Raw genomic sequence first — 23,846 nt, forward strand, 5'->3', positions numbered from 1 at the left:
TTTTTTTTTTTTTTTTTTTTTTTTGAGATGGAGTCTTGCTCTGTCGCCCAGGCAGGAGTGCAGTGCTGCGATCTCGGCTCACTGCAACCTCTGCCTCCCAGGTTCAAGCAATTCTCCTGTCTCAGCCTTCCAAGTAGTTGGGATTACAGGCGCATGCTGCCATGCCTGGGCTAAATTTTTTTTTTTTTTTTTTGAGATGGAGTCTTGCTCTGTCTCCCAGGCTGGAGTGCAGTGGCACGATCTCGGCTCACTGCAAGCTCCACCTCCCGGGTTCACGCCATTCTCCTGCCTCAGCCTCCTGAGTAGCTGGGACTACAGGCGCCCGCCACCGTGCCTGGCTAATTTTTTGTATTTTTAGTAGAGACGGGGTTTCACTGTGTTAGCCAGGGTGGTCTCGATCTCCTGACCTTGTGATTCGCCTGCCTCGGCCTCCCAAAGCGCTGGGATTACAGGCGTGAGCCACTGCAACCAGCCCTAATTTTTTTGTATTTTAGTAGAGATGGGGTTTCACCGTGTTGCCCAGCCTGGTCTCGAACTCCTGAGCTCGGGCAACCTACCCGCCTTGGCCTCCCAAAGTGCTAGGATTACAGGTGTGAGCCACTGCACCCGGCCAGTATAAGTCTTTATTTGTTTATTATTTTTTATTTTTTTGAGATAGAGTCTTGCTCTGTCACCCAGGCTGGAGTGCAGTGGTGCAATCTTGGCCCACTGCAACCTCTGCCTCTGGGGTTTGAATGATTCTTCTGCCTCAGCCTTCGGAGTAGCTGGGATTACGGGAGCACGTCACCACACCTGGCTAATTTTTGTATTTTTTTTAGACAGAGTCTCACTCTGTTGCCAGGCTGGAGTGCAGGGGCACAATCTTGGCTCGCTGCAGCCTCCACCTCCCAGGTTCAAGCGGTTCTCCTGCCTCAGCCTCCCGAGTAGCTGGGACTACAGGTGTGCGCCACCATGCCCAGCTGATTTTTGTATTTTTAGTAGAGACGGAGTTTCACCATGTTGGCCAGGATGGTCTCGATCTCTTGACCCCATGACCCGCCCACCTCAGCCTCCCAAAGTGCTGAGATTACAGGCGTGAGCCACCGCGCCCCGCCAATTTTTGTATTTTTAGTAGAGACAGGGTTTCGCCATGTTGGCCAGGTGGGTCTTGAACTCCTGACCTCGAGTAATCCACCCGTCCTCCCAAAGTGCTGGGATTACAGGTGTGAGCCACCCCATCCAGCCTAGTATAACTATTTTTTTACATTTTAATTTTGTAGTGATGGGGGTCTTGCTATGTTGCCCAGGCTGGTCTCAAACTCCAGCCTCAAGCCTTCCTCCTGCCTCGGCCATAAGTCTTTTTTAATCACAGAAATATTTCAAACACGTGTAAAGCTCTCTTTAATGGAGCTCGTGTTTCTCATCATCTCTCTGGTTTGCCAACATTGCAGTCCTGACAGTGCTGGGGATCTGTGTGTCCAAACACCCTCTGTTTGGCCGAGGACCCTGATGGAAATAATGCTCTCCAGCCTTGGTGAATTTGCACTTTCAAACAACCAGAGATTTGTCTGTTTTAATAACATTCACTCTAGCTGGGCGTGGTGGCTCACATCTGTAATCCCAGCACTTTGGGAGGCTGACACAGGAGGATTGCTTGAGGCCAGGAGTTTGAGACCAGCCTAGGCAACACAGACAAATTAGCCAGGTGTGGTGGCACGTGCCTGTAGTCCAGCTACTCAGGAGGCTGAGGTGGGAGGATCACTTGAGCCTGGGAGGTCGAGGCTACAGTGAGCTATTATCATGCTACTGCACTCCAGCCTGGGCAATGGAGTAAGACCCTATCTCCAAAAAAAAATTGTTAAAAAGAAAGCAAAAGAACAAAGTTTACATTTTATCAACACACGAGTAAACATGGAAACACAGATATGTAAAAGCTAAAGTGTCAGAAGACACTGCCGACTGTAGAGAACCGTTCTAATGAAAGACAAAGCAACGCTGGACACTCCCACCTCCTTCCACAGACCCAGACCTTGGCAAGCTGCAGCTAGGAACTGCATGGTGCCATGGCTTGACTGGGCCCCCCAAATTCATGTGTTGGAGACTTGACCCCCAATGCAGCAATGTTGGGAGGAGGCCTAACTGGAGGGGCTCAGACCAGGTTTGGTGCCCACAGCAGGCTTTGCAGAATGAGAGCCCACAGGCCAAAGGCCGACCAAGGAAGTGTTTTACTCAATTTAATTTCATAAAAATTAAGAAAAAAAGTGGGCGGCTCACGCCTGTAATCCCAGCACTTTGGGAGGCCGAGGCGGGCGGATCACAAGGTCAGAAGATCGAGACCATCCTGGCTAACACAGTGAAACCCCGTCTCTACTAAAAATACAAAAAATTAGCTGGGCACGGTGGCGGGCGCCTGTAGTCCCAGCTACTTGGGAGGCTGAGGCAGGAAAATGGCATGAACCCGGGAGGCGGAGCTTGCAGTGAGCCGAGATTGCGCCACTGCCCTCCAGCCTGGGTGAAAGAGTGAGAGACTCCGTCTCAAAAAAAAAAAAAAAAAAAAAAAGAAAAGAAAAGAAAAAAAGTGAGTCGTGATGATGCCATTGCACTCCAGGCTGGGTGACACAGCGAGACCCTGTCTCAAAAAACAAAAAAGAAAAGAAAAAAAATGCTGTCGTTTATCACTTGTTTCTCTCTTAGGCGTCTCTGCTGCCATCACCAATCAATACAGGAGGCACTGGGAAGATGCTAATTCTACCCTTTACCAAGAGCAGTGGTTGATGAAAAGTCCTCGAAACCCAGCCAGCCTCAGTGGCTCACTCCTGTAATCCTAGCACTTTCGGAGGCCGAGGGCAGATCACTTTAGGTCAGGAGTTCAAGACCAGCCTGGCCAACATGGCAAAACCCCCTCTCTACTAAAAATACAAAAAAATTAGATGGGCATGGTGGTGCATGCCTGTGATCCCAGGTACTCGGGAGGCTGAGGTGGGAGGATCACTTGAACCCAGAGGCAGAGGTTGAGATGAGCCAAGATCGCACCACTGCACTCAAACCTGGGAAACAGAACGAGACTCTTGTCTCAAAAAAAAAGAAAAAAAGTCCTCAAAACCCTAGACTTTGAGATCTCTGATGTAATAATTTTATTTTATTTTTTTGAGACGGAGTCTTGTCACCCAGGCTGGAGTGCAGTGGTGCGATCTCAGCTCACTGCAAGCTCCGCCTCCTGGGTTCACGCCATTCTCCTGCCTCAGCCTCTCGAGTAGCTGGGACTACAGGCGCCTGCCACCACGCCCGGCTAATTTTTTGTGTTTTTAGTAGAGACAGGGTTTCACCTTGTTAGCCAGGATGGTCTCGATCTCCTGACCTCGTGATCCACCGGCCTCAGCCTCCCAAAGTGCTGGGATTATAGGCGTGAGCCACCACGCCCAGCCTTTCTGATGTAATAATTTTGAATGTCTCAGGAAGCTGGAAGAGGCCAGATGTGGTGGCTCACGCCTGTAATCCTGGCTATTCAGGAGGCTGAGGCAGGAGGATTGCTTGAGGTCGAAAGTTTGAGACCAGGCTGGGCAACACAGTGAGACCCCATCTCTATAAAATATTTAAAATAAAAAAAAATGAAAACTGAAAGAGGCTCAGGTCACCGACTTAGATCCCACCATCAGTCAGATGCGTATGTGGTGCCAACGCTGCTGGATGCTCCAACCCTCTTGTCCTCCGAGCTTTGGGCTTCTTCGGCCCACTGCCCTGTGGCTCCCATCACCTCCTGCTGTGCCGTGGAGCTGGGCTTCCCTCGCCCGGGGCCGTGTCCAGCTATCCAGCCCACACTCAGCGCTGTATGCGGATGCTGCTGCCTTCAGTGGTCCCAACTGCCTGCCAACCGTCCCAGGTGGAGCCTTGCTGCTGGCGGCTCTTGTGGTTGGGTGCTCTCGAAGGTTACTGATTCGGAAAGAACAGGCTGGACAAGGCAAACACTCACCTTTCGCCTCAAATTTCCCAATGAGCTGGGCTCCCATTGCCATGGCGACATTAGACAGGAGGCAGGAGCAGAGCTTCTGGCTCAGAGTCATCCAGTTGTACCGAGGGGCCACGAAGAAGTAGGGGATGTAGGTGAAGAAGTAGAGGAAGCCTCCGAAGGCTGCTGCCATGTTGGCTGCAGGTGTTGGAAGACCCGGGGGGCGTGAGCGTCAGTGCCCTCAAAAGGGGCTTGGGCTCCCCGAGGTACAGGCAACCCCCTACTCCTGGGGCCGAGCCACCCAACCTGCTCCTGGCACTTGCCATCTACACGGGACACAAGCTCCAGCACGGGGGGACACCAGGTGTGGCCGGCAGCCCCTTCTCCAAGTGAGTAGTGCCCCCATCCCAGGGACCCCCACACCAACACCTCCAGCCCCTCCTCCACCTCCCATCCAGCTGCCTCCCTGACACTGCACACCTCACGTGGCTGATCCCAAACCCCTGATTCCCGCCTAAGCCCCACTTCTTTTTTTTTTGAGAAGGAGTCTTGCTCTGTCGCCCAGGCTGGAGTGCAGTGGCACGATCTCGGCTCACTGCAAGCTCCGCCTCCTGGGTTCACGCCATTCTCCTACCTCAGCCTCCTGAGTAGCTGGGACTACAGGTGCCCGCCACCACGCCCGGCTAATTTTTTGTATTTTTTAGTAGAGATAGGGTTTCACCGTGTTAGCCAGGATGGTCTCGATCTCCTGACCTCGTGATCCACCGGCCTTGGCCTTCCAAAGTGCTGGGATTACAGGCGTGAGCCACCGTGCCCAGCCTGCCTAAGCCCCACTTCTGCCTGGGTTGCCTGATCTCTCTCATTTGTTCATTCATGCATTCGTCAGATACGCACTGAGCACCTACTCTGTTCTAAGCACCGGGAGGCAGCCCCACACAAAACAGAGAAAATCCCTCCCCTCCCACGCCTGGAATATAGCGGGGAGACAGAGAGCAAGGTGTGCTGGATGGAGACACATGCTGGATGCAGCAAGGAGGCGCAGGATGGGAGAAGAGGCTCCCGACGGCCGGGAAGGCTTCGAGGAGGTGACATGTGAGAAGGAGCCGGAAGAGGTGAGAGAGTGGATTACGGAGAGTGGAGAGATGGGCATGTTTTCTGTCCATGCCAGCAGTGCTCAAACTGTTTGGTTTTCTTTTCTTTGTTTCCTTTTGAGATCGAGTCCCCCTCTGTCACCTAGGCTGGAGTACAGTGGTGCCATCATGGCTCACTGCAGCCTCCACCTCCCGGGCCCAAGAAGTCCTCCCACCTCCGGCTAGGGAGAGCAGCTAGGACCACAGGCACGCAGTACCATGCCTAGCTAATTTTTAAATGTTTTTGTAGAGATGGGTTTCCCTATTTTGTCAGGGCTAGTCTAAAGCTCCTAGGCTCAAGGGATCCTCCCGCCCTGGCCTCCCAAAGTGTTGGGATTACAGGTCTGAGCCACCGTGCCCAGCCATCAAAATCTTTGGTCTTAAGACCCTTTTCTATCCTTAAAAATTATTAACGACACCAAAGGGCTTTTTAAATGTGGGTTATATATATATATCCATATTTATTCTGTGAGAAATTAATACTAAGAACATTTAAAAATTCTGTTAAATTTAAGAATAACAGTAACAAATCCACTACAAGTCAACATACATTTATGAAAAAAACCCCGGCTGGGTGTGGTGGCTCATGCCTGTAATCCCAGCACTTTGGGAGGCTGAGGTGGGCAGATCACAAGGTCAAGAGATCAAGACCATCATGGCCAACATGGTGAAACCCCGTCTCTACTAAAAATACAAAAATTAGCTGGGCATGGGTGGTGGTGTGCGCCTGTAGTCGCAGCTACTCAGGAGGCTGAGGCAGGAGCATCGCTTGAACCCGGGAGGTGGAGGTTGCAGTGAGCCGAGATCGGGTCACTGCACTCCATCCTAGCGACAGAGTGAGACTCTGTCTCAAAACAAACAAACAAACAAAAAAACAAACAAACAAACAAAACACCCACACACACACACTTTCCACAATTTACTGAGAAGAGCAGCAGTGGTTTTTCCAACTTTTTTTTCTTTCTTTTTTTTTTTTTCTGAGACAGGGTCTCATACTATCGCCCAGGATGGAGTGCAGTGGTGTGATTTCAGCTCACTGCAACCTCTGCCTCCTGGGCTCAAGCGATTCTCCCACCTCAGCCTCCTGAGTAGCTCGGACTACAGGTATGCACCACCGGGCCAGGCTAATGTTTTTTTTATTTTTAAGTAAAGACAGGTTTTCGTCATGTTGCCCAGGCTGGGCTTGAACTCCTGGGCACAAGCAATCTGCCCACCTTGGCCTCCCAAAGTGCTGGGATTAGAGATGTGAGTCACTTGACCGGCTGATTTTTTCTTTTTCTTTATTGGTCTTTTTCCCCACCTCTGGTGCTTCAGTCAGGAACGATGTTTCGCATTTTTGTAAACCTCCATAATGTCTGACTTAGCAGATTACAGCTCGGTCCTCATATCTGCCTATTTACTCTTTTCTTTCTTTTCTTTTCTTTTTTTTTCTTTTTTGAGATGGAGTCTCGCTCTGTCACCAGGCTGGAGTGCAGTGGCACGACCTTGGCTCACTGAAACGTCTACCTCCTGGGTTCAAGCAATTCTCCTGCCTCAGCCTCCCGAGTCACTGGGACTACAGGCGAGCGCCACCACACCCAGCTAATTTTTGTATTTTTAGTAGAGACGGGGTTTCACCATGTTGGCCAGGGTGGTCTCGATCTCTTGACCTCGTGATCCGCCTGCCTCGGCCTCCCAAAGTGCTGGAATTACAGGCGTGAGCCACCGCGCCCAGCCCTATTTACCCTTTTATGTTGTTTGGTTGATGTATATAAAGAAAATCTGCCTTCCCACAGATATATAGTTGGAAAAGTAAAGGGTATTGTAATGGTTTTTACAGATATCTGTGGATATTCTTCTTTGATACTATACCATGCAAGCGCCACTGAACAAGCAGTAATTTCGGAAAGGTTAGTTGCCATGAAGTAACCAACGAACTTTTTGCGCTCTGTTACATTAACATCCATTGGTTTATCCTGCAGTTTGGATTTTTTTTTTAATTTTTGGAGAGAGAGTCTCGCTCTGTCGCCCAGGCTGGAGTGCAGTGGCACGATCTTGGCTCAATGCAACCTCCGACTCCCAGGTTCAAGCAATTCCCTGCCTCAGCCTCCTGAGTAGATGGGATTACAGGCATCCGCCACCATGCCCGACTAATTTTTGTATTTTTAATAGAGACGGGGTTTCACCATCTTGGCCAGGCTGCTCTTGAACTCCTGACCTCGTGATCCACCCACCTCGGCCTCCCAAAGTGCTGGGATTACAGGTGTGAGCCACTGTGCCCGGCCTAATTTTTTGTATTTTTAGTAGAGACAGGGTTTCACCATGTTGTCCAGGCTGGTCTTGAACTCCTGAGTTCAGGCAATCCGCCCGCCTCAGTCTCCCAAAATGCTGGGATTACAGGCATGAGCCACTGCGCCTGGCCACACTTTGGATTTTTACTCTTGTATGATTTTATAACATGATGCATTAGTTCGTTTGGAAAATACTGCTTTTTGAGTTACACAAATGTTCCAAACACTGGCATATTTTATCATACAATATTAAAAAAATTACATTTGTTAATGTTATCACTGGCTCCATAAAAAGTTAAGTACTAGGAAGTCACAGATTTGAGTTTGCAAAATTCTATTTTTTGCCTGAAAGCTTGAACTGCAGTATTGATGTCAGAAACTACCAGTTGTTTTCCTTAAAAAGACAGGCTCCTACTGGAGAAAATGCCTACCAAACACCCGAGGGGGAATAACTATAGTCTAGTGGTTGCTCCTTCAAGCAAAAATGGTGCCCCATGGAAAAAGTGGCTAGTTTTGCTGACAACTCAAGCAACTGTACATGTACTTTTCCTCAAGATAATCCATGGTTCAGTACAAGTACTTTATGTGTACATCCCATTTCGTCACACAGAATACTAAATGAAGTATATTTGAGAGTCGAGATTTAATAAAGTTTTTTTTTTTACTGCTTTGTCAAGGACATTCATGAGTGAAATTGGCATTTTTCTTTTTTTTTTTTTTGAGATGAAGTTTCACTCTTGTTGCCCAGGCTGGAGTGCAATGGCACAGTCTCAGCCCACTGCAACCTCCGCCTCCCGGGTTCAAGTGATTCTCCTGCCTCAGCCTCCCGAGTAGCTGGGATTACAAGTGCCCACGACCACGCCCAGCAAATTTTTTTTGTATTTTTAGTAGAGACGGGGTTTCACCATGTTGGCCAGGCTGGTCTCGAACTCCTGACCTCAGGTGATCTGCCCGCCTCGGCCTCCCAAAGTGCTAGGATTACAGGCATGAGCCACCATGCCCGGCCGAAATTGCATTTTTTTTTTTTCAGCCTGAGCAACATGGTGAAACCCTAACTCTACAAAAACTACAAAAATTAGCTGGGCATGGTGTTGTACACCTGTGGCCCCAGCTGCTTGGGAGGGAGGCTGAAGTGGAAGGATCACTCGAGCCCTGGGAGACAGAGGTTGCAGTGAGTCGAGATCAGGCCACTGCACTCCAGCCTGGGCAACAGAACGAGACCATGTCTCAAAACAAAAAAAATTTAAAAAATAAGCTGGCATTGTTTGTTTGTTTGCTTGCTGTGAGTATGTGGCAGTGGAGAACACAGTGATAAGTATGGCTTGGTGTCTTGATTTATGCTTAGGGTCTGGTGGTTTTGCTCATCATTGTTTTTGCACCGTCACTACAAATGTCAGCATGGTGGAAAAGGCAAGCAGCATCTGGGTGTCACTATAAGACCATCTGGGGCCAGGTGTGGTAGCTCACGCCTATAATCCCAGCACTTTGGGAGGCTGAGGCTGGTGGATCACCTGAGGTCAGGAGTTCAAGACCAGCCTGGCCAACATGGTGAAACCCCGTTTCTACTAAAAATACAAAATTAGCTGGGCATGCTGGCTTGCACCTGTAGTGCCAGCTACTCAGAGGCTGAGGCAGGAGAATTGCTTGAACCCAGGCAGCAGAGTTTGCAGTGAGCCAAGATTGTGCCACTACACTCCAGCCTAGGCAACAGAGTGAGACTCTGTCACAAAAAAAAAAAAAAAAAAAAGAAGAAAGGGGGTTGTAAAAGTATAGTTTAAAAAAAAAAAGAAATTAAGAGGCCAGGCGTGGTGGCTCATGCCTGTAATCCCAGCACTCTGGGAGACGGAGGTGGGAGGATCACTTGAGGTCAGGAGTTTGAGACCAGCCTGGACAACATGGCAAAACACGGTTTCTACAAAAATAGCTGGGTATGGTGGCGGGCGCCTGTAATCCCAGCTACTTGGGAGGCTGAGGCAGGAGAATCACTTGAACCCAGAAGGCGGAGGTTGCAGTGAGCCAATTGTGCCACTACACTTAGCCTGGGCAACAGAGCGAGATTCCATCTCAAAAAAAAAAAAAAGTAATTAACAGACGTGAAAGACTGAGAGATACCCCCTCACACCCATTAGGATGGCGACTATAAAAAACAATCAATCAGAAAACAACAGGTGTTCACGAGGATGCAGGAGACTGGCAACCTGTGTGCTGCTGGTGGGAATGCGCACCGGTGCAGACACTGCGGGAAAGACAGTCTGACAGTCTCTCTCAAAAGTTAAACATGGAATTGCCATAGGATTCAGCAACTTCACTTCTGGGTGTACGCCCAAAGAATGAAAAGCAGGGACCCATGTCCAGCACAGCACACTCATGACAGCCACAACACAGGGGCATCCAAGAGTCTGTCAATGGATGAACAAGTAAACAAAATGTGGCCCCATCTACATTATGGAATATCATCTAGCCTTGAAAAGGAGGGGAATTCAGGCTACAACACAGATGAACCTTGGGGATGCTATGCTCAGTGAAATAAGCCAGGCACAGCATATAAACACTGTACGATTCCTCTTACATGAAGTCCCCAGGGTCATCAAACTCATAGGGACAGGAAGTAGGGTGCTGGTTTCCAGGGAAGGGGGGTGGGGGAGTCAGTGTTTCACAGGGACTGTTTCAGTCGGGAAACATGAAAACCATTCTGGAGGTGGACATGGGGGTGGGTGCACAACGATGTGAATGCTTAAAGCGGCCACAATGGTAATTTTTTTTTTTTTGAGACCAAGTTTCACTCTTGTTGCCCAGGCTGGAGTGCAGTGGCATGATCACGGCTCACCGCAACCTCTGCCTCCTGGGTTCAAGCAATTCTCCTGCCTCAACCTCCCAAGAAGCTGGGATTACAGGCATGTGCCACCACACCTGGCTAATTTTGTATTTTTAGTAGAGACAGGGTTTCTCCATGTTAGTCAGGCTGGTTTCGAACTCCCGACCTCAGATGATCTGCCAGCCTTGGCCTCCCAAAGTGGGATTACAGGCATGAGCCATAGTGCCTGGTCTTTTTTTTTTTTTTTTTTTTTTTTGAGACAGAGTCTTGCTCTGTTGCCAGGCTGGAGTGCACTGGCACAACCTCGGCTCACTGCAACCTCCGCCTCCTGGGTTCAAGCGATGCTCCTGCCTCAGCCTCCCGAGTAGCTGGGACTACAGGTACCCGCCACCACACCCGGCTAATTTTTGTATTTTTTTTTTTTAGTAGAGACGAGGTTTCACTGTGTTGGCCAGGATGGTCTCAATCTCCTGACCTCATGATCCACCCGCCTCGGCCTCCCAAATTGCTGGGATTACAGGCGTGAGCCATGGTGCCCGGTCATAAATTGTTGTATGTATTTTACACACACACACACACACACACACACACACACACACACACAGCAAAGTCTGATGAGATATTACCCGAAATCTCATTGAAATTCGAACCGAAGACACATGAGCCCTCAGATCGAAATGTTCATAAAGAAAAATCACACCTAGACTTTTGGCAGACTCCCACTAACGATGAGTATCGGATGGCAATAAGGTAACATTATAAAATTGCCAAGGAAGAACACCTATCTGTGGAGAATTTCACAGGCAGCTAAAATACTATACAGGAGTGAGGGCAAAATACAGACACCTTTGGACATACAAAGTCGAAAGCACTGACCACTTACCAATGCCCACTAGAAGAACTACTCAAAGATGTGCTTCAACACAGAGAAGAGTGACTCTAAAAAGCCAGGTACACGAAAATCACGTGCACATCAGATATGTTGGCAAAGCACAGGAATGTCACATAGGAAGTAACTGCTTATGATTTTTTTTCTTTTTTTGAGACAGGGTCCCTCTCGTTCTCCAGGCTGGAATGCAGTGGTACAAACTCAGCTCACTGCAACATCCGCCACCTGGGCTTAAGCAATGCTCCCACCTCAGCCTCCCAAGTAGCTAGGACCACAGGGGCATGCCACCACACCTGGCTAATTTTTAAACTTTTTTTTTTTTTTTTTTTTTTTTGTAGAGACAGGGTCTTGCCATGTTGCCTAGGCTGGTCTTAAACTCCTGGGCTCAAGTGATCCTCCTGCCTTGACCTCCTAAAGTGCTAGGATTACAGGTGTGAGCTACCATGCCTGGTCACTTAGGTTTTCTTTAATAATAAAACAAACTAGACAACAACAAAAGTTAGGAGGTCAGGCATGGTGGCTCACACCTGTAATCCCAATGCTTTGGGAGGCTGAGGTAGGAGGATCACTTGAGATCAGGAGTTCAAGACCAGTCTGGGAAACATGGTGAGAAAAAAAAAAAAAAAAAAAAAGCTAGGTGTGGTGGCAGGTAACGGTGGTGTGAGCTACTCAGAAGGCTGAGGCTGGAAGATAGCTTTGAGCCCAGCAGTTCAAGGCTGCAGTGAGCCGTGTCTGTGCCATTGCACTCCAGCCTGGGCAACAGAACAAGAGGCAGTCTCAAAAAAAAAAAAAAAGAAAAAAGAAAAGAAAAAAAGAAAAGAAAAAAAAAAAAAGGCCAAGCGCAGTGGCTCACACCTGTAATCCCAGCACTTTGGGAAGCCAAGGAGTATGGATCGCTTGAGGTCAGGATTTCAAGACCAGCCTGGACAACATGGCAAAACCCCGTCTCTACTAAAAATGCAAAAAAAAAAAAAAAAAAAAAAAAAAAAAAAAAAAAAATTAGCCAGGCGTGGTGGCACACGCCTGTAATCCCAGCTACTCAAGAGGCTGAGGCACAAGAATCACTTGAATCCCAGAGGCAGAGACTGCAGTGAGCCAAGATCGCACTAATGCACTCCAGACTGAGCAACAGAGCAAGACTGCTCGAAAAAAAAAACAAAAAACTGGGAACCTCTAAAAGTACTTAGAGTGGTGGTGAGGTTGGAGTTTTACCTGGGAGGAGCCTGGGCATACTGAATAACTTCACTTTTTGGAATTTTAGAGGTAAGTAATCAAGTGAAACATTAAAGGTAATCACTAAAAAAAGAGAAACACAACTTATAGCCTCTGAACCATCCGAGGTAAAAGGCACTACAGAAGGCCAACAGAAGGCAGGAAAGGAAAACAAAGAAGCAAAAGAGAATGATAACAAAGTGACACACAAAATCCAGACAGGAAAAATGATCTTCAACGTAACTGTCACCGCAAGGCTCTGCACATGGCCGGGCTCACTGTCCTCACTTCTGGCTCGCCTTCCCTTTGGGCTGCTGGACAGCACTCGGCATGGCCAGCCACACACCTGCCTTCTCTGAATTCTCCTTCTCCCTAAATTACGCTGACTTTCCTCCTTCCAGTCCAACCTTCCCCTGGTCAGCTCCTCCCTGGGCAGCTCCACCAGGCCACTCTCCCTTCCGATCACAGCCTCTGGGTTATTTCCATGCAGATGGCCCTTGGCCCCTTGGCAACCCCACTCTGCCCCATGACTGGGGCTCACCTTTGCTGAAGAAGGTGCTGACCATGAAGCTGAAGGAGATGGTAGAGATGGCGAAGCACAGCAGGAAGGCGAGCACCAGGGAGGGGTCGCTGCGGGACAGCACGGCTACATTTGGCTTCACCTGCAGGGCACAGGCATGAGTCGGGCGTGGTGGGCCGGCAGAGGTGGACCAGGAGGACTCCTGACCATCCCTGGTCACAGGGACGCGGCTCCACCGAGAGGAGTGGGACATTGACAGCTCCTCTCCCCCATGAGGGACAGACTCTCTCTGAAGTCTCTGACCACAAAGTTCTTCCCAAGAGGGCCCTCCTGGGGTGCCCTGGCTCTCCCCGTCCTCACCAGAGCCCCACCGACGCCATGCTCACCTTGACACAGAAGAGCAGGGTCATGAAGGAGGCGGCGATGAGGAGGAAGAGGAAGAACAAGAGGAACCAGGCACTCCAGTGCAGCCAGCTGCTGAGCCCCATCATGCGCATGTACTCCTGGGGAGAGAAGCCATCACGCTGCTGGGGGCCCGTCACTGCCCGCCATGATGGCATGTGCCAGGCTGGACGGCAGCAGGCCTGAGTCCGACTGTCCCAGCAGCCCTGCATTCGACAGGGTCTTACTATGTCGGCCAGGCTCATCTTGCTCAAACTCCTGGGCTCAAGTGATCTGCCTGCCTCAGCCTCCCAAAGTGCTGGAATTATAGGCATAAGCCACTGCACCCGGCCAGCCCTCCATTCTGTAGAGCGATTCCACACTCCCAGTGCATGCTCCCCAGTCTTTCCTGGTACTTGAGATCGTCCCCCGAAGCTACGTCAGGCGGCAGGAGCCCAGCCCTTCTGGGGGTGGGCCGAAAGACCCTGCCAGTTCCCAACCACGTCAACACCAGCCTCCATGGCTGTGAGACGTGACCACAGATCAGACCATAGCTGTGGATGCCATAGCCATTCATTCCCTCAACCTCCCCTACTCTGAAAGGAGGGGCCCAGAACCTCTGCAGTGAAGGACGAGGCGCAGTGATGGGTCGGCTCTGACCACACCTTCCTTCCTCACCTGCCCCACCAAGGAGTCAGGCGTGGTGATGAGGAAACCCAGTTCCTTCACTGACCAAAAGCGCCTGGGGAGTCCTGGGGCGGCCACACTGACCAATACGGCAGCCAGCAGCCAGGTGTGGCCGTTTCAACTGAAGTTAATTAAAAATAAAGTTAAAAATTCAGCTCCTCATTTCTTTTTCTTTCTTTTTCTCTTTTTCTTTTTTTTTTTTAGATGGAGTCTTGCTCTGCTGCCCAGGCTGGAGTGCAGTGGTGCGATCTTGGCTCACTGCAACCTCCACCTCCCGGGTTCAAGAAATTCTCGTGCCTCAGCCTCCCAAGCAGCTGGGATTACAGGTGCATGCTACCACGCCTGGCTAATTTTTGTATTTTTAGTAGAGACACGGTTTCACCTTGCTGTCCAGGCTGGTCTTGAACTCCTCACCTCAAGTGATCCGCCCACCTCGACCTCCCAAGGTGCTGGGATTACAGGTGTGAGCCAGTGCCCAGGGCTAGCCCTTTCTTATGCATAATTTCTGACCTACAGAACAGCGGGAAGAGGAGCACAATGGTCTCTCACATTCCCACCACTTAGGTTCAGTAACCGTTTCACGTTTTGCCCTATTTGTTTGATCTGTGTATCTGCATATGTGCACACTTTTTTTTTTTTCAGGATCATTTTATAGCCCACTGCTGACTCCCTCAATGCTGCATAGTTTTATGAAAGTTATTTATGGCACCAAGCAGATGAACAACTGGGCAGCCTCAAAATGAGCCCCTAGCCAGGTGTTACAGCTCATGCCTGTAATCCCAGCACTGTGGGAGAATGAGATGGGAGGCTGAGATGGGAGAATTTCTTGAGGCCAAGAGTTTGAGACCAGCCTTGGCAATATAGAAAGACCTCCGGCCGGGCACGGTGGCTCACGCCTGTAATCCCAGCACTTCTGGAGGCCGAGGCGGGCGGATCACAAGGTCAGGAGATTGAGACCATCCTGGCTAACACGGTGAAACCACGTCTCTACTAAAAATACAAAAAATTAGCTGGGTGTGGTGGCAGGCACCTATAGTCCCAACTACTCGGGAGGCTGAGGCAGGAGAATGGCGTGAACCCGGGAGGCAGAGCTTGCAGTGAGCCGAGATCGCACCACTGCACTCCAGCCTGGGCGACAGAGCGAGACTCCAACTCAAAAAAAAAAAAATACTAAAACACCAAGCCTTTGGACATGGCCTCCCCAGGACAGCGCGGTTTCTAGAGTGTTGGGGAGCCAAAGCGGGCAGTCACCTTCAGCCTCCTTTCCTTCTCCTGCACGACAGCACGGGCAATGGTGAGCGCGGTGTAGGTGAAGCTGAGCAGCAGCAGCAGGGGCAGCTGGTACTGGATGGCCACGAGGAAGGGGTCTGCGATGAACGGCGGGTACGGGAACCTCTTGATGGTCACCGTCAGTCTCTGGAACAGCTGGCGTGTGGCGGCATCGGCATGGTACTCCATGATGGCCCGGTCCACAGCATGCTGCACGGCCAGGAAGCCTTCCCGGATGTACCCTGGGTGCGGGAGCAGAGGATGGCCCAGCCACCTCGAGGAGCTGCTCTCGAGGGCAGAGGGCCACGTGCATGGGGTCCATGGGGGAAGAGATGCTTGGGGCAACAGAGTGACTTCAGCTCAGGACCCCCGTGGCCGCTCAGTGGTCCCACGGGAGAAGGAAGGAAACGCACCACACACTGACAGCAAATGAGAAGAGAGATGTGATTGTCACTTCCACTTTGTAACTAACACAACACACAAAAAAAATCACACACATGATCACTTTTTTTTTTTTTGAGACGGAATCTCACTCTGTCGCCCAGGCTGGAGTGCAGTGGCGCGATCTTGGCTCACTGCAACCTCCACCTCCCAGGTTCAAGCGATTCTCCTGCCTCAGCCTCCCGAGTAGCTGGGACTACAGGTGCACACCACCATGCCCAGCTAATTTTTTGTATTTTTAGTAGAGACGGGGTTTCACCGTGTTAGCCAGGATGGTCTGGATCTCCTGACCTCATGATCCACCCACCTTGGCCTCCCAAAGTGCTGGGATTACAGGCGTGAGCCACTGCACCCGGCCTTTTTTTTTTTTGAGACAGTCTTGCTCTCTCACTCAGGCTGGAGTGCAGTGGCGCGATCTCGGCTCACTGCAACGTCTGCCTCCTGGGTTCAAGCAATTCTCCTGCCTCAGCCTCCCGAATAGCTGGGATTACAGGTGCACACCACCACGCCCAGCTAATTTTTTTTTTTTTTGTATTTTTAGTAGAGACGGGGTTTCACTATGTTGGCCAGGCTGGTCCCGAACTCCTGACCTCAGGTGATCTGCCTGCCTCAGCCTCCCAATGCTGGGATGACAGGTGTGAGCCACTGCGCCCAGCCTGAGGGCTGAATTCTCATCAGGCATATTAGTGGGTCTAAGGCATGGACATCTGGAGGCAAAACTGAGGCTAGAATTGACCAGTCCCTGTGCCATGCCAGTCTCACACACGTTATATCTCCTGGGGCTTTACTAGGAGCTTGTTTTTCCAGCCAACTTTTCTTCCCCCTCAGGTTCTCTGTCTTGCTGAGGACTAACCGACTATTCTTAATAACAAAACTTTTTTTCTCTAACAAAAGATATTTACTCTGTGTCATTTGCCACAAAGGTTTTCCCCAGTCTGCTATGTGCTTTTTTTTTTTTTTTTTTAAACCACCATTAGGTCTTTTCGTGTCTGGCAAATTTCCAGTTTGTACATGCTGAAATCTGTCAGTCTTTTCCTTTGAGATTGGTTTTCTCTTGCTTCCAAGCTTAGGGAATTGTTCCCCAAAAACAGGAGGGAGCTGAGCAGCTCCTGCCTGGGCCCCAGTCTCAGCAGCCAGTGTCCCCTCCTGCAGTCCCCTGCTGCAGGCAGCAAGCATCATGTGTGACAGCTGGACATAGCTTCTCCTGAGCTCCAGGCTGGGTGACCTGTCAAGGGCATCGCTCTGGGGCCTCACACACCCCACACCAGGTCTTGTTCATCTTAGTTCTAGATGTAAAATCTTGCCCTAGAGCATTAGCCTGGTGACAGCCCTGGCACCAGTAAGGGACATCGCTAAGCGCTGGCTGCATGCATGCTGTCTCCTGCCTGCCTGGCACTTGTGTCTCAGAATCATGCCTCATGGAGGGATGGGACGTTGCTGTGACTTCCATGGCAAACTTCCATGAGTTCTGTCTCCTGCCAGACCCGTGAAATACGACGTTCTCCAGAACACCCTGGACTTCCACCCAGAACCTGCAGTGGGGTCTTTCTTGGCCTGACAGCTAAGCCTAGTCCTGGGTCCGAGTCACTTCTTGGCTGTCCCTAGCTCAGTTCCAAGACAAGACCATGCTTCAGAGGAGGCACACGTACCAACCACCTGCCCAGGTCCACACGAAGACACACACTGATGGGGCATCAGAGTAACCAAGATCTGGCTTCCATGAACACCACACTGATTCCGTCAAACCATGGATCAGGTGCACAAGGACCACGGAGCTAAAAATGCCAGTAAGTCTGTACACAGAGAAGGCCCGGCAGAAAAAGAAAATGTAAACCAAGCCCCATGAACTCAAACGGGAGCTTTTAAAAGCTGACGTACAGCCGGGTGTGGTGGCTCATGCCTGTAATCCCAGAACTTTGGGAAGCCGAGGTGGGTGAATCATGAGGTCAAGAGATCGAGACCATCCTGGCCAACGTGGTGAAACCCCGTCTCTACTAAAAATACAAAAATTAGCTGGGCGTGGTGGTGTGCGCCTGTAATCCCAGCTACTTGGGAGGTTGAGGCAGGAGAATCGCTTGAACCTGGGACACAGCGGTTGCAGTGAGCCGAGGTCGCGCCACTGCACTCCAGCTTGGCGACAGAGCAAGATTCTGTCTGAAAAAAAAAAAAAAGAAAAAAAGCTGAAATACAAATGTTTCATTCAAGAGCACGTCTTCCAGGATATAGAGAAAGGGCCTTTGCTATCTTCAAGGATTATTTTAGTCTTTCAGAAACCAGTTATACTGGATGTTTTACTTTTCCTATAAACAAGAGTAAATGTTCCTGAAAAGTATTTCTTTCTTTTTTTTTTTAATTATACTTTAAGTTTTAGGGTACGTGTGCACAATGTGCAGGTTAGTTACATAGGTATACATGTGCCATGCTGGTGTGCTGCACCCATTTACTCGTCATTTAACATTAGGTATATCTCCTAATGCTATCCCTCCCCCCGCCCCCCCACCCCACAACAGGCCCCAGTGTGTGATGTTCCCCTTCCTGTGCTGGGAAAACTGGCTAGCCATATGTAGAAAGCTGAAACCAGATCCCTTCCATACACCTTATACAAAAATTAATTCGAGATGGATTAAAGACTTCAATGTTAGGCCTGAAACCATAAAAACCCTAGAAGAAAACCTAGGCATTACCATTCAGGACATAGGCATGGGCAAGGACTTCATGACTAAAACACGAAAAGCAATGGCAACAAAAGCCAAAATTGACAAATGGGATCTAATTAAACTCAAGAGCTTCTGCACAACAAAGGAAACTACCATCAGAGTGAACAGGGAACCTACAGAATGGGAGAAAATTTTTGCAATCTACTCATCTGACAAAGGGCTAATATCCAGAATCTACAATGAACTCAAATAAATTTACAAGAAAAAACCAAACAACCCCATCAAAAAGTGGGCAAAGGATATGAACAAACACTTCTCAAAAGAAGACATTTATGCAGCCAAAAGACACATGAAAAAATGCTCATCATCACTGGCCATCAGAGAAATGCAAATCAAAACCACAGTGAGATACCATCTCATACCAGTTAGAATGGCAATCATTCAAAAGTCAGGAAACAACAGGTGCTGGAGAGGATGAGGAGAAATAGGAACACTTTTACACTGTTGGTGGGACTGTAAACTAGTTCAACCATTGTGGAAGTCAGTGTGGCGATTCCTCAGGGATCTAGAACTAGAAATACCATTTGACCCAGCCATCCCATTACTGGGTATATACCCAAAGGATTATAAATCATGCTGCTATAAGGACACATGCACACGTATGTTTATTGCGGCACTATTCACAACAGCAAAGACTTGGAACCAAGCCAAATGTCCTGAAAAGTATTTCTTCAAGAAATACTTTTGCAAAGTGGGGCTGCCCCCATATGACTGTCACTAGTCAACAGCCCGGGCTGGTAACACGAACCCTAACCGAGCTTCTCACCAGGTTCTCCGCCATCAGGGGATGTAGGTTCCCTTGGTCCTGGGTTTGGGAAAAGCGGGAAAAGGGAAGTAGTGTGCCAGCCTTCTGTCTCTTTCAGGAAAAAGGAGCCTGTTTGGGTCCACATGTAATTTCTCCGTGTGTAACTGAACCGTAGGTGATATTTCACCTGTGGAAACAAAGAGAAAACCAGCTGTTCCGAGAGATCCAGACAGAGGGGCAAACAACAGGGTGGAGTGGGAGAGCGCTTGGGGGGCTGTCACAGCCGAGAACTCACCACTCCCCCGCCTCTGAGTATCTCCAACAGGCCCCGGAATGTCACACTGAGTGGTCCCTGTCCTAGCAGGAGCAGGGAGCCACACAGGGGCCCCTTTTGGGGGGTGGTTCTTGGCCATTCCTAATTCCATTGTGAAGTGCCACCGAGTGTTCAGGATCCCTGGAGGGCCGCCAACCACAATGCTAGATGGACTTGATGGCTTCCTAATTTTAATGCCATCAGGCAAGCAAAAACCTCACTTTCTTTCTTTCCGCCAGATCATATTTAAGTCCTAAATACCTACTACTTTCCTTAACTATCTTATTAGACTCTGTTCTGGAGACCAGTAATATCTTTCATAAAATGAGGGAACAGAAAGGAGCTTGGGGCGGCCACAGGCAGGTGCATTTTCTAACCTGTTCTGACCCGTGGGTTTAAATGTCACCAAGATCCCCTTGGCGGGGACTGTGATGATATTATCAGACCCAAAGGAGTGACTGCTATTGACTTGCAGGCAGGCAGAGGTTTAAGGGAAAGCAGTGCCTTTTACAGGTTGAACTAGTGACGCGGGAGGAAGCGGAGGCCTTGCTGATGGGCTGTGACTGCTCGGCCCGGCCGCACGTCTCACCGCCAGCGGCAGGGGCTCCTTGCTGTGGTTGAAGGGGTGCTCGAAGACCACGGCGGCCAGCACGCTGGACGAGCAGTTGTCGTACCTAATGTAGTCCTCAAAGTCCTTCTCGGAGGGAAAGCCGCGCACTGCAAAGAGAGAGCACGGGAGCTGTGGTTGCCCAATCGGCCCTCCTGCTTGAAAAATCTGCGTGGTTCAGGTCACTGGCAGATGAAAGACGGCAAATCCTCTAGGGCTTTGTAAACCCTTCCTGAGACTCAAGGCAGCTTTCATCTTTGGCAGAGAGACAAGCTGCCATCAAGGAGGGCAGAATGGCAGGGTCAGAGCCCCAGGCAGTGAGTTCTCCTGGTGCGGGTTTTTTGGAGCAGAGCTGGAGGCTCCGGGTAGCGCCTGCAGCAAGGCCCAGGGGAGCAAACCCACCACCCACCCTGCAGTGGGCTCTGCAGCCCGGGGTGGCTTCTCTTTCTCAAAACCAGAATGGTGTGTTTTTACAAATGGAGTGGATGCTAACTCAGAGTGTCTCAAAGGCTTTTTCTATCATCTGGACACTCCTTAACAATTCAGAAAGGGTTTTACTGTCGTCATTTTGTGAGGGACCAAGGCACTTCCTCTGAGTATTTGCTACAAGGAATTAAAGCCCGGGAGGTAAATGCCCAAATGAGGAGGGGAAAATGGAGGACAGCTTTCATCCCGACAGCAAGGGTTTAGGAACGGTGAGCAGCACTCACAGTGGGAGTTCCCTTCTCAGGCTTTCTCATCACTGTTTTCAGAGCTGCCCACCCAAAACCACGTCCCAGAAAAGGTTCTTGGCACCACACGGTCAAACTGTGCCCTGCCCTTGTCACAGAAGGGCTTTCCCTGGCTCAAGTCCACCCAGGCATCCCTGTAAAGTCCTGTCCACCCTACTGACCATCAGATGCAGTTCCAGGGCCTGGTACTGCTAAGGCTGCTGCACCTGCTGCTCCCCGGGGTCCTCACAGCTCTGCACAGGTGGGCGGCCAGCCCTGGTCCCATTGTACAATCAGGCATGGCCACAGAGAAGCTGGGGGATTCCTTGGGTGGCTCAGCCGCCGAGAAGAGATTTGATGCTAGATGGGCTTGATGGCTTCCTAGTCTTAGGGCCATCAGGCAAGCAAAAACCTCACTTTCTTTTTTCCCTTTTTCTGCCAGGTCGTATTTAAGTCCCAAATATCTGCTACTTTCCTTATGTATCTTATTGGACTCTGTTCACAGAGGCCTGGAGACCAGTAATGTCTTTCATAAAATGAGGGAACAGAAAGGAGCCTGGGGCAACTGCAGGCAGGTGCATTTTCTAACCTGTTCTGCCCCATGGGTTAAAATGTCACCAGGGTCCCTTTGGTGGGGACTGTGATGGTGCTATCGGACCCAAAGGAGAGACTGCTATTTACTCGCAGGCAGGCAGAGGTTTAAGGAACAGCAGTGCCTTTTACAGGTTGAAGTAGTGATGCGGGAAGAAGCAGAGGCCAAGTCTGCACAGGGTGAACTCCTCACCCAGCTGCTTCGCACATCCTGGGCTCGACCCCTGCCTGCCCAGCCGCGTGGAGGCACCACTAGGCCTGGCACCGAGAGCCCCGGCATGTCTCACCTCGCATGTTGATCACAAGTGCCCTGCGCACTGTCTCAGTGACGGTCTTGGCAGCGTCACTGTGAGAAGGGATGTAGGCAAGCTCCCAGGTGTCTCCTGGCGGAGGGAAGGTGAAGAACAGAGGCAGCTCCTGGATGGACTGGCCCGGGTAGATGGTGGCGTTGGGCACATTTTCCGACTGAATCTTCAAGCGGAGCCAGATGAGGATCCCAGAAAACAGCAATGGCAGGAAGAGTTCCAGGACCGTCACCAGGACCTTCCGCTTCTGGAAGAGATACAATAGGGCACGGTGATGGGCTGCAAGGCAGAAGCAGGGGCATGCAGACAGCCCTTCCCTCAAGGGCATCCCCAGGAGCCTCTGGGCTAGGCACGCAGCTGACCTCCCTCCAGAGTCTGGACGCACCTGCAGGGTGTAGTTCTTCCAGAGGAGGAGCGCCAGCTGCCTGAGCACAGCCATCGTCTTGCTGAAAGGGACGCCCAGTGCTAGTTACAGACCAAAGACAGAGAGTGTGGGTGCGCAATAGAAACACGCAGAGTGGGGATTTGGGGAAAAGCCATGGACCCTTTTTCCTCCATGTCTCTCACCTTCTTTTGTGCCACTTTAACTCCAAACACCCCTGGAGGGAAGGGTACAAGGCCTGTGCCATGCCCACCCTCAATCCTCTACCCTGCACATCCAAAGAGCATAGTCTTTTTGGCCAGGTGCAGTGGCTCATGCCTGTAATCTCAACACTTTGGGAGGCCGAGGCAGGTGGATCACTTGAAATCAGGAGTTCGAGACAAGCCTGGCCAACATGGTGAAACCCCGTCTCTACTGAAAATACAAAAATTAGCCAGGCGTGGTGGCAGGCGCCTGTAATCCCAGCTACTCGAGAGGCTGAGGCAGGAGAATCGCTTGAACCCGGGAGGCGGGGGTTGCAGTGAGCCAAGATCGTGCCACTGCCCTCCAGCCTGGGGGCAACAGAGTAAGACTCTGCCACAAACAAACAAACACCAAAAAAACCCAAAGAGCATAGTCTTTTTGGAGCCCAACTTGTTCCTTGGTGAATGTAAGATCAATGACATGCTTTTTATGTGCACTGTGACTTCTGCAGTAGTTTTTAAAATTTTTTTTGTTTCTTTTGAGACAGGGTCCTGCTCTGTTGCCCAGGCTGGAGTGCCATGGTGCGATCACAGCTCACTGCAGCCTCAACCTCCTGGGCTTGTGATCCTCCCACCTCAGCCTCCCGAGTAGGTGGAACTACAGGTGCATGCCACCAACACCCGGCTGGTCTCGAACTCCTGGCCTCAAGCAATCCTCCAGCTTCATCCTTGTAGTGCTATTTACCATTTGATAAATGCTATTAGGATGTTCTTGGTGGTTAATATGGATTTGCTATTTATTACCAAAATATTCAGGCTTATGGAATTCCACTTACTGACTGACCAGCTTTATTCTTAACCAACACTGAACCCATAAAAGAAAACTGAACATAGTGTCCTGGGTGATTTCTAAGGTTTGGAGAGAGCTGTGCAGGGAAGGGGAAAGGAGGGACTTGGAATTCTGGCCCCCATTGGCCTTGCTGCCCCGGAGCAGGCCCGGGTAGGCAGACATGCTGGTGGGGCCATCAGTCACACCCTCTCCTTGGCCCTAAAGACCGGCTTTTCCTGTTGTTATTACAGGTACTGGCATCAGAGCCTCGCAGCAAAAAGACTAGCCATTTTCTTTTTCTTTTTTCTGTTTTTTTTGGAAACAGAGTCTTGCTCTGTCACCCAGGCTGGAGTACAGTGGCGTGATCTTGGCTCAATGGAACCTCCGCCTCCTGGTTTCAAGCGATTCCCCTACCCCAGCCTCCTGAGTAACTGGGATTACAGGCGCCTGCCACCACGCCTGACTCATTTTTATATTTTTAGTAGAGATGGGGTTTCACCATGTTGGCCAGGCTGGTCTTGAACTCCTGACCTCAAATGATCCGCCCGCCTCAGCCTCCCAAAGTGCTGGGATTATAGGCGTGAGCCACTGTGCCCAGCTGCCATTTTCATCTTTACCATCTGTCCAACGAAAATTCATCCAAAAAATAATCTATCCTATATTATATAGGAACATGATATTTAAATCTGGCACATATAATGGGGAAAAAAATCTGCCAAAAGATGATCAAATACAGGTGATAGCAGAAATGAGAGCTTAGATCTGTAAAGGTATTCCCTCAATTTAGCTAAAATCTGTCTTACTAAATTTCAAATATCAGAAACAGAGGCTGGGTGTGGTGGCTCATGCTTGTAAACCCAGCACTTTGGGAGGCCGAGGCAGGAGGATCCCTTAAGCCCAGGAGTTCGAGACCAGCCTGGGCAACA

At 50.1% G+C, this 23,846-nt stretch overlaps 1 protein-coding gene across 1 annotated transcript in view; it reads right to left on the reverse strand.

Annotated features, from left to right (window-relative positions):
• ABCA3 (ATP binding cassette subfamily A member 3) overlaps positions 1–23,846 on the reverse strand; it is a 64,848-nt gene that overhangs the window by 28,620 nt on the left and 12,382 nt on the right. The window contains exons 4-11 of the mRNA NM_001089.3: positions 21,913–21,992; positions 21,510–21,774; positions 19,904–20,031; positions 19,023–19,188; positions 15,081–15,340; positions 13,148–13,264; positions 12,783–12,903; positions 3,950–4,123 (exon numbers count right to left, since the gene is read on the reverse strand). Coding sequence (NP_001080.2) covers positions 3,950–4,123; positions 12,783–12,903; positions 13,148–13,264; positions 15,081–15,340; positions 19,023–19,188; positions 19,904–20,031; positions 21,510–21,774; positions 21,913–21,966 — 1,285 coding nt within the window. The 5' untranslated portion in view covers positions 21,967–21,992. The remainder of the gene's footprint in view (positions 1–3,949; positions 4,124–12,782; positions 12,904–13,147; positions 13,265–15,080; positions 15,341–19,022; positions 19,189–19,903; positions 20,032–21,509; positions 21,775–21,912; positions 21,993–23,846) is intronic.

Source organism: Homo sapiens, chromosome 16 (assembly GCF_000001405.40).
Source record: "Homo sapiens chromosome 16, GRCh38.p14 Primary Assembly".
Classification (NCBI taxonomy): domain Eukaryota; kingdom Metazoa; phylum Chordata; class Mammalia; order Primates; family Hominidae; genus Homo; species Homo sapiens.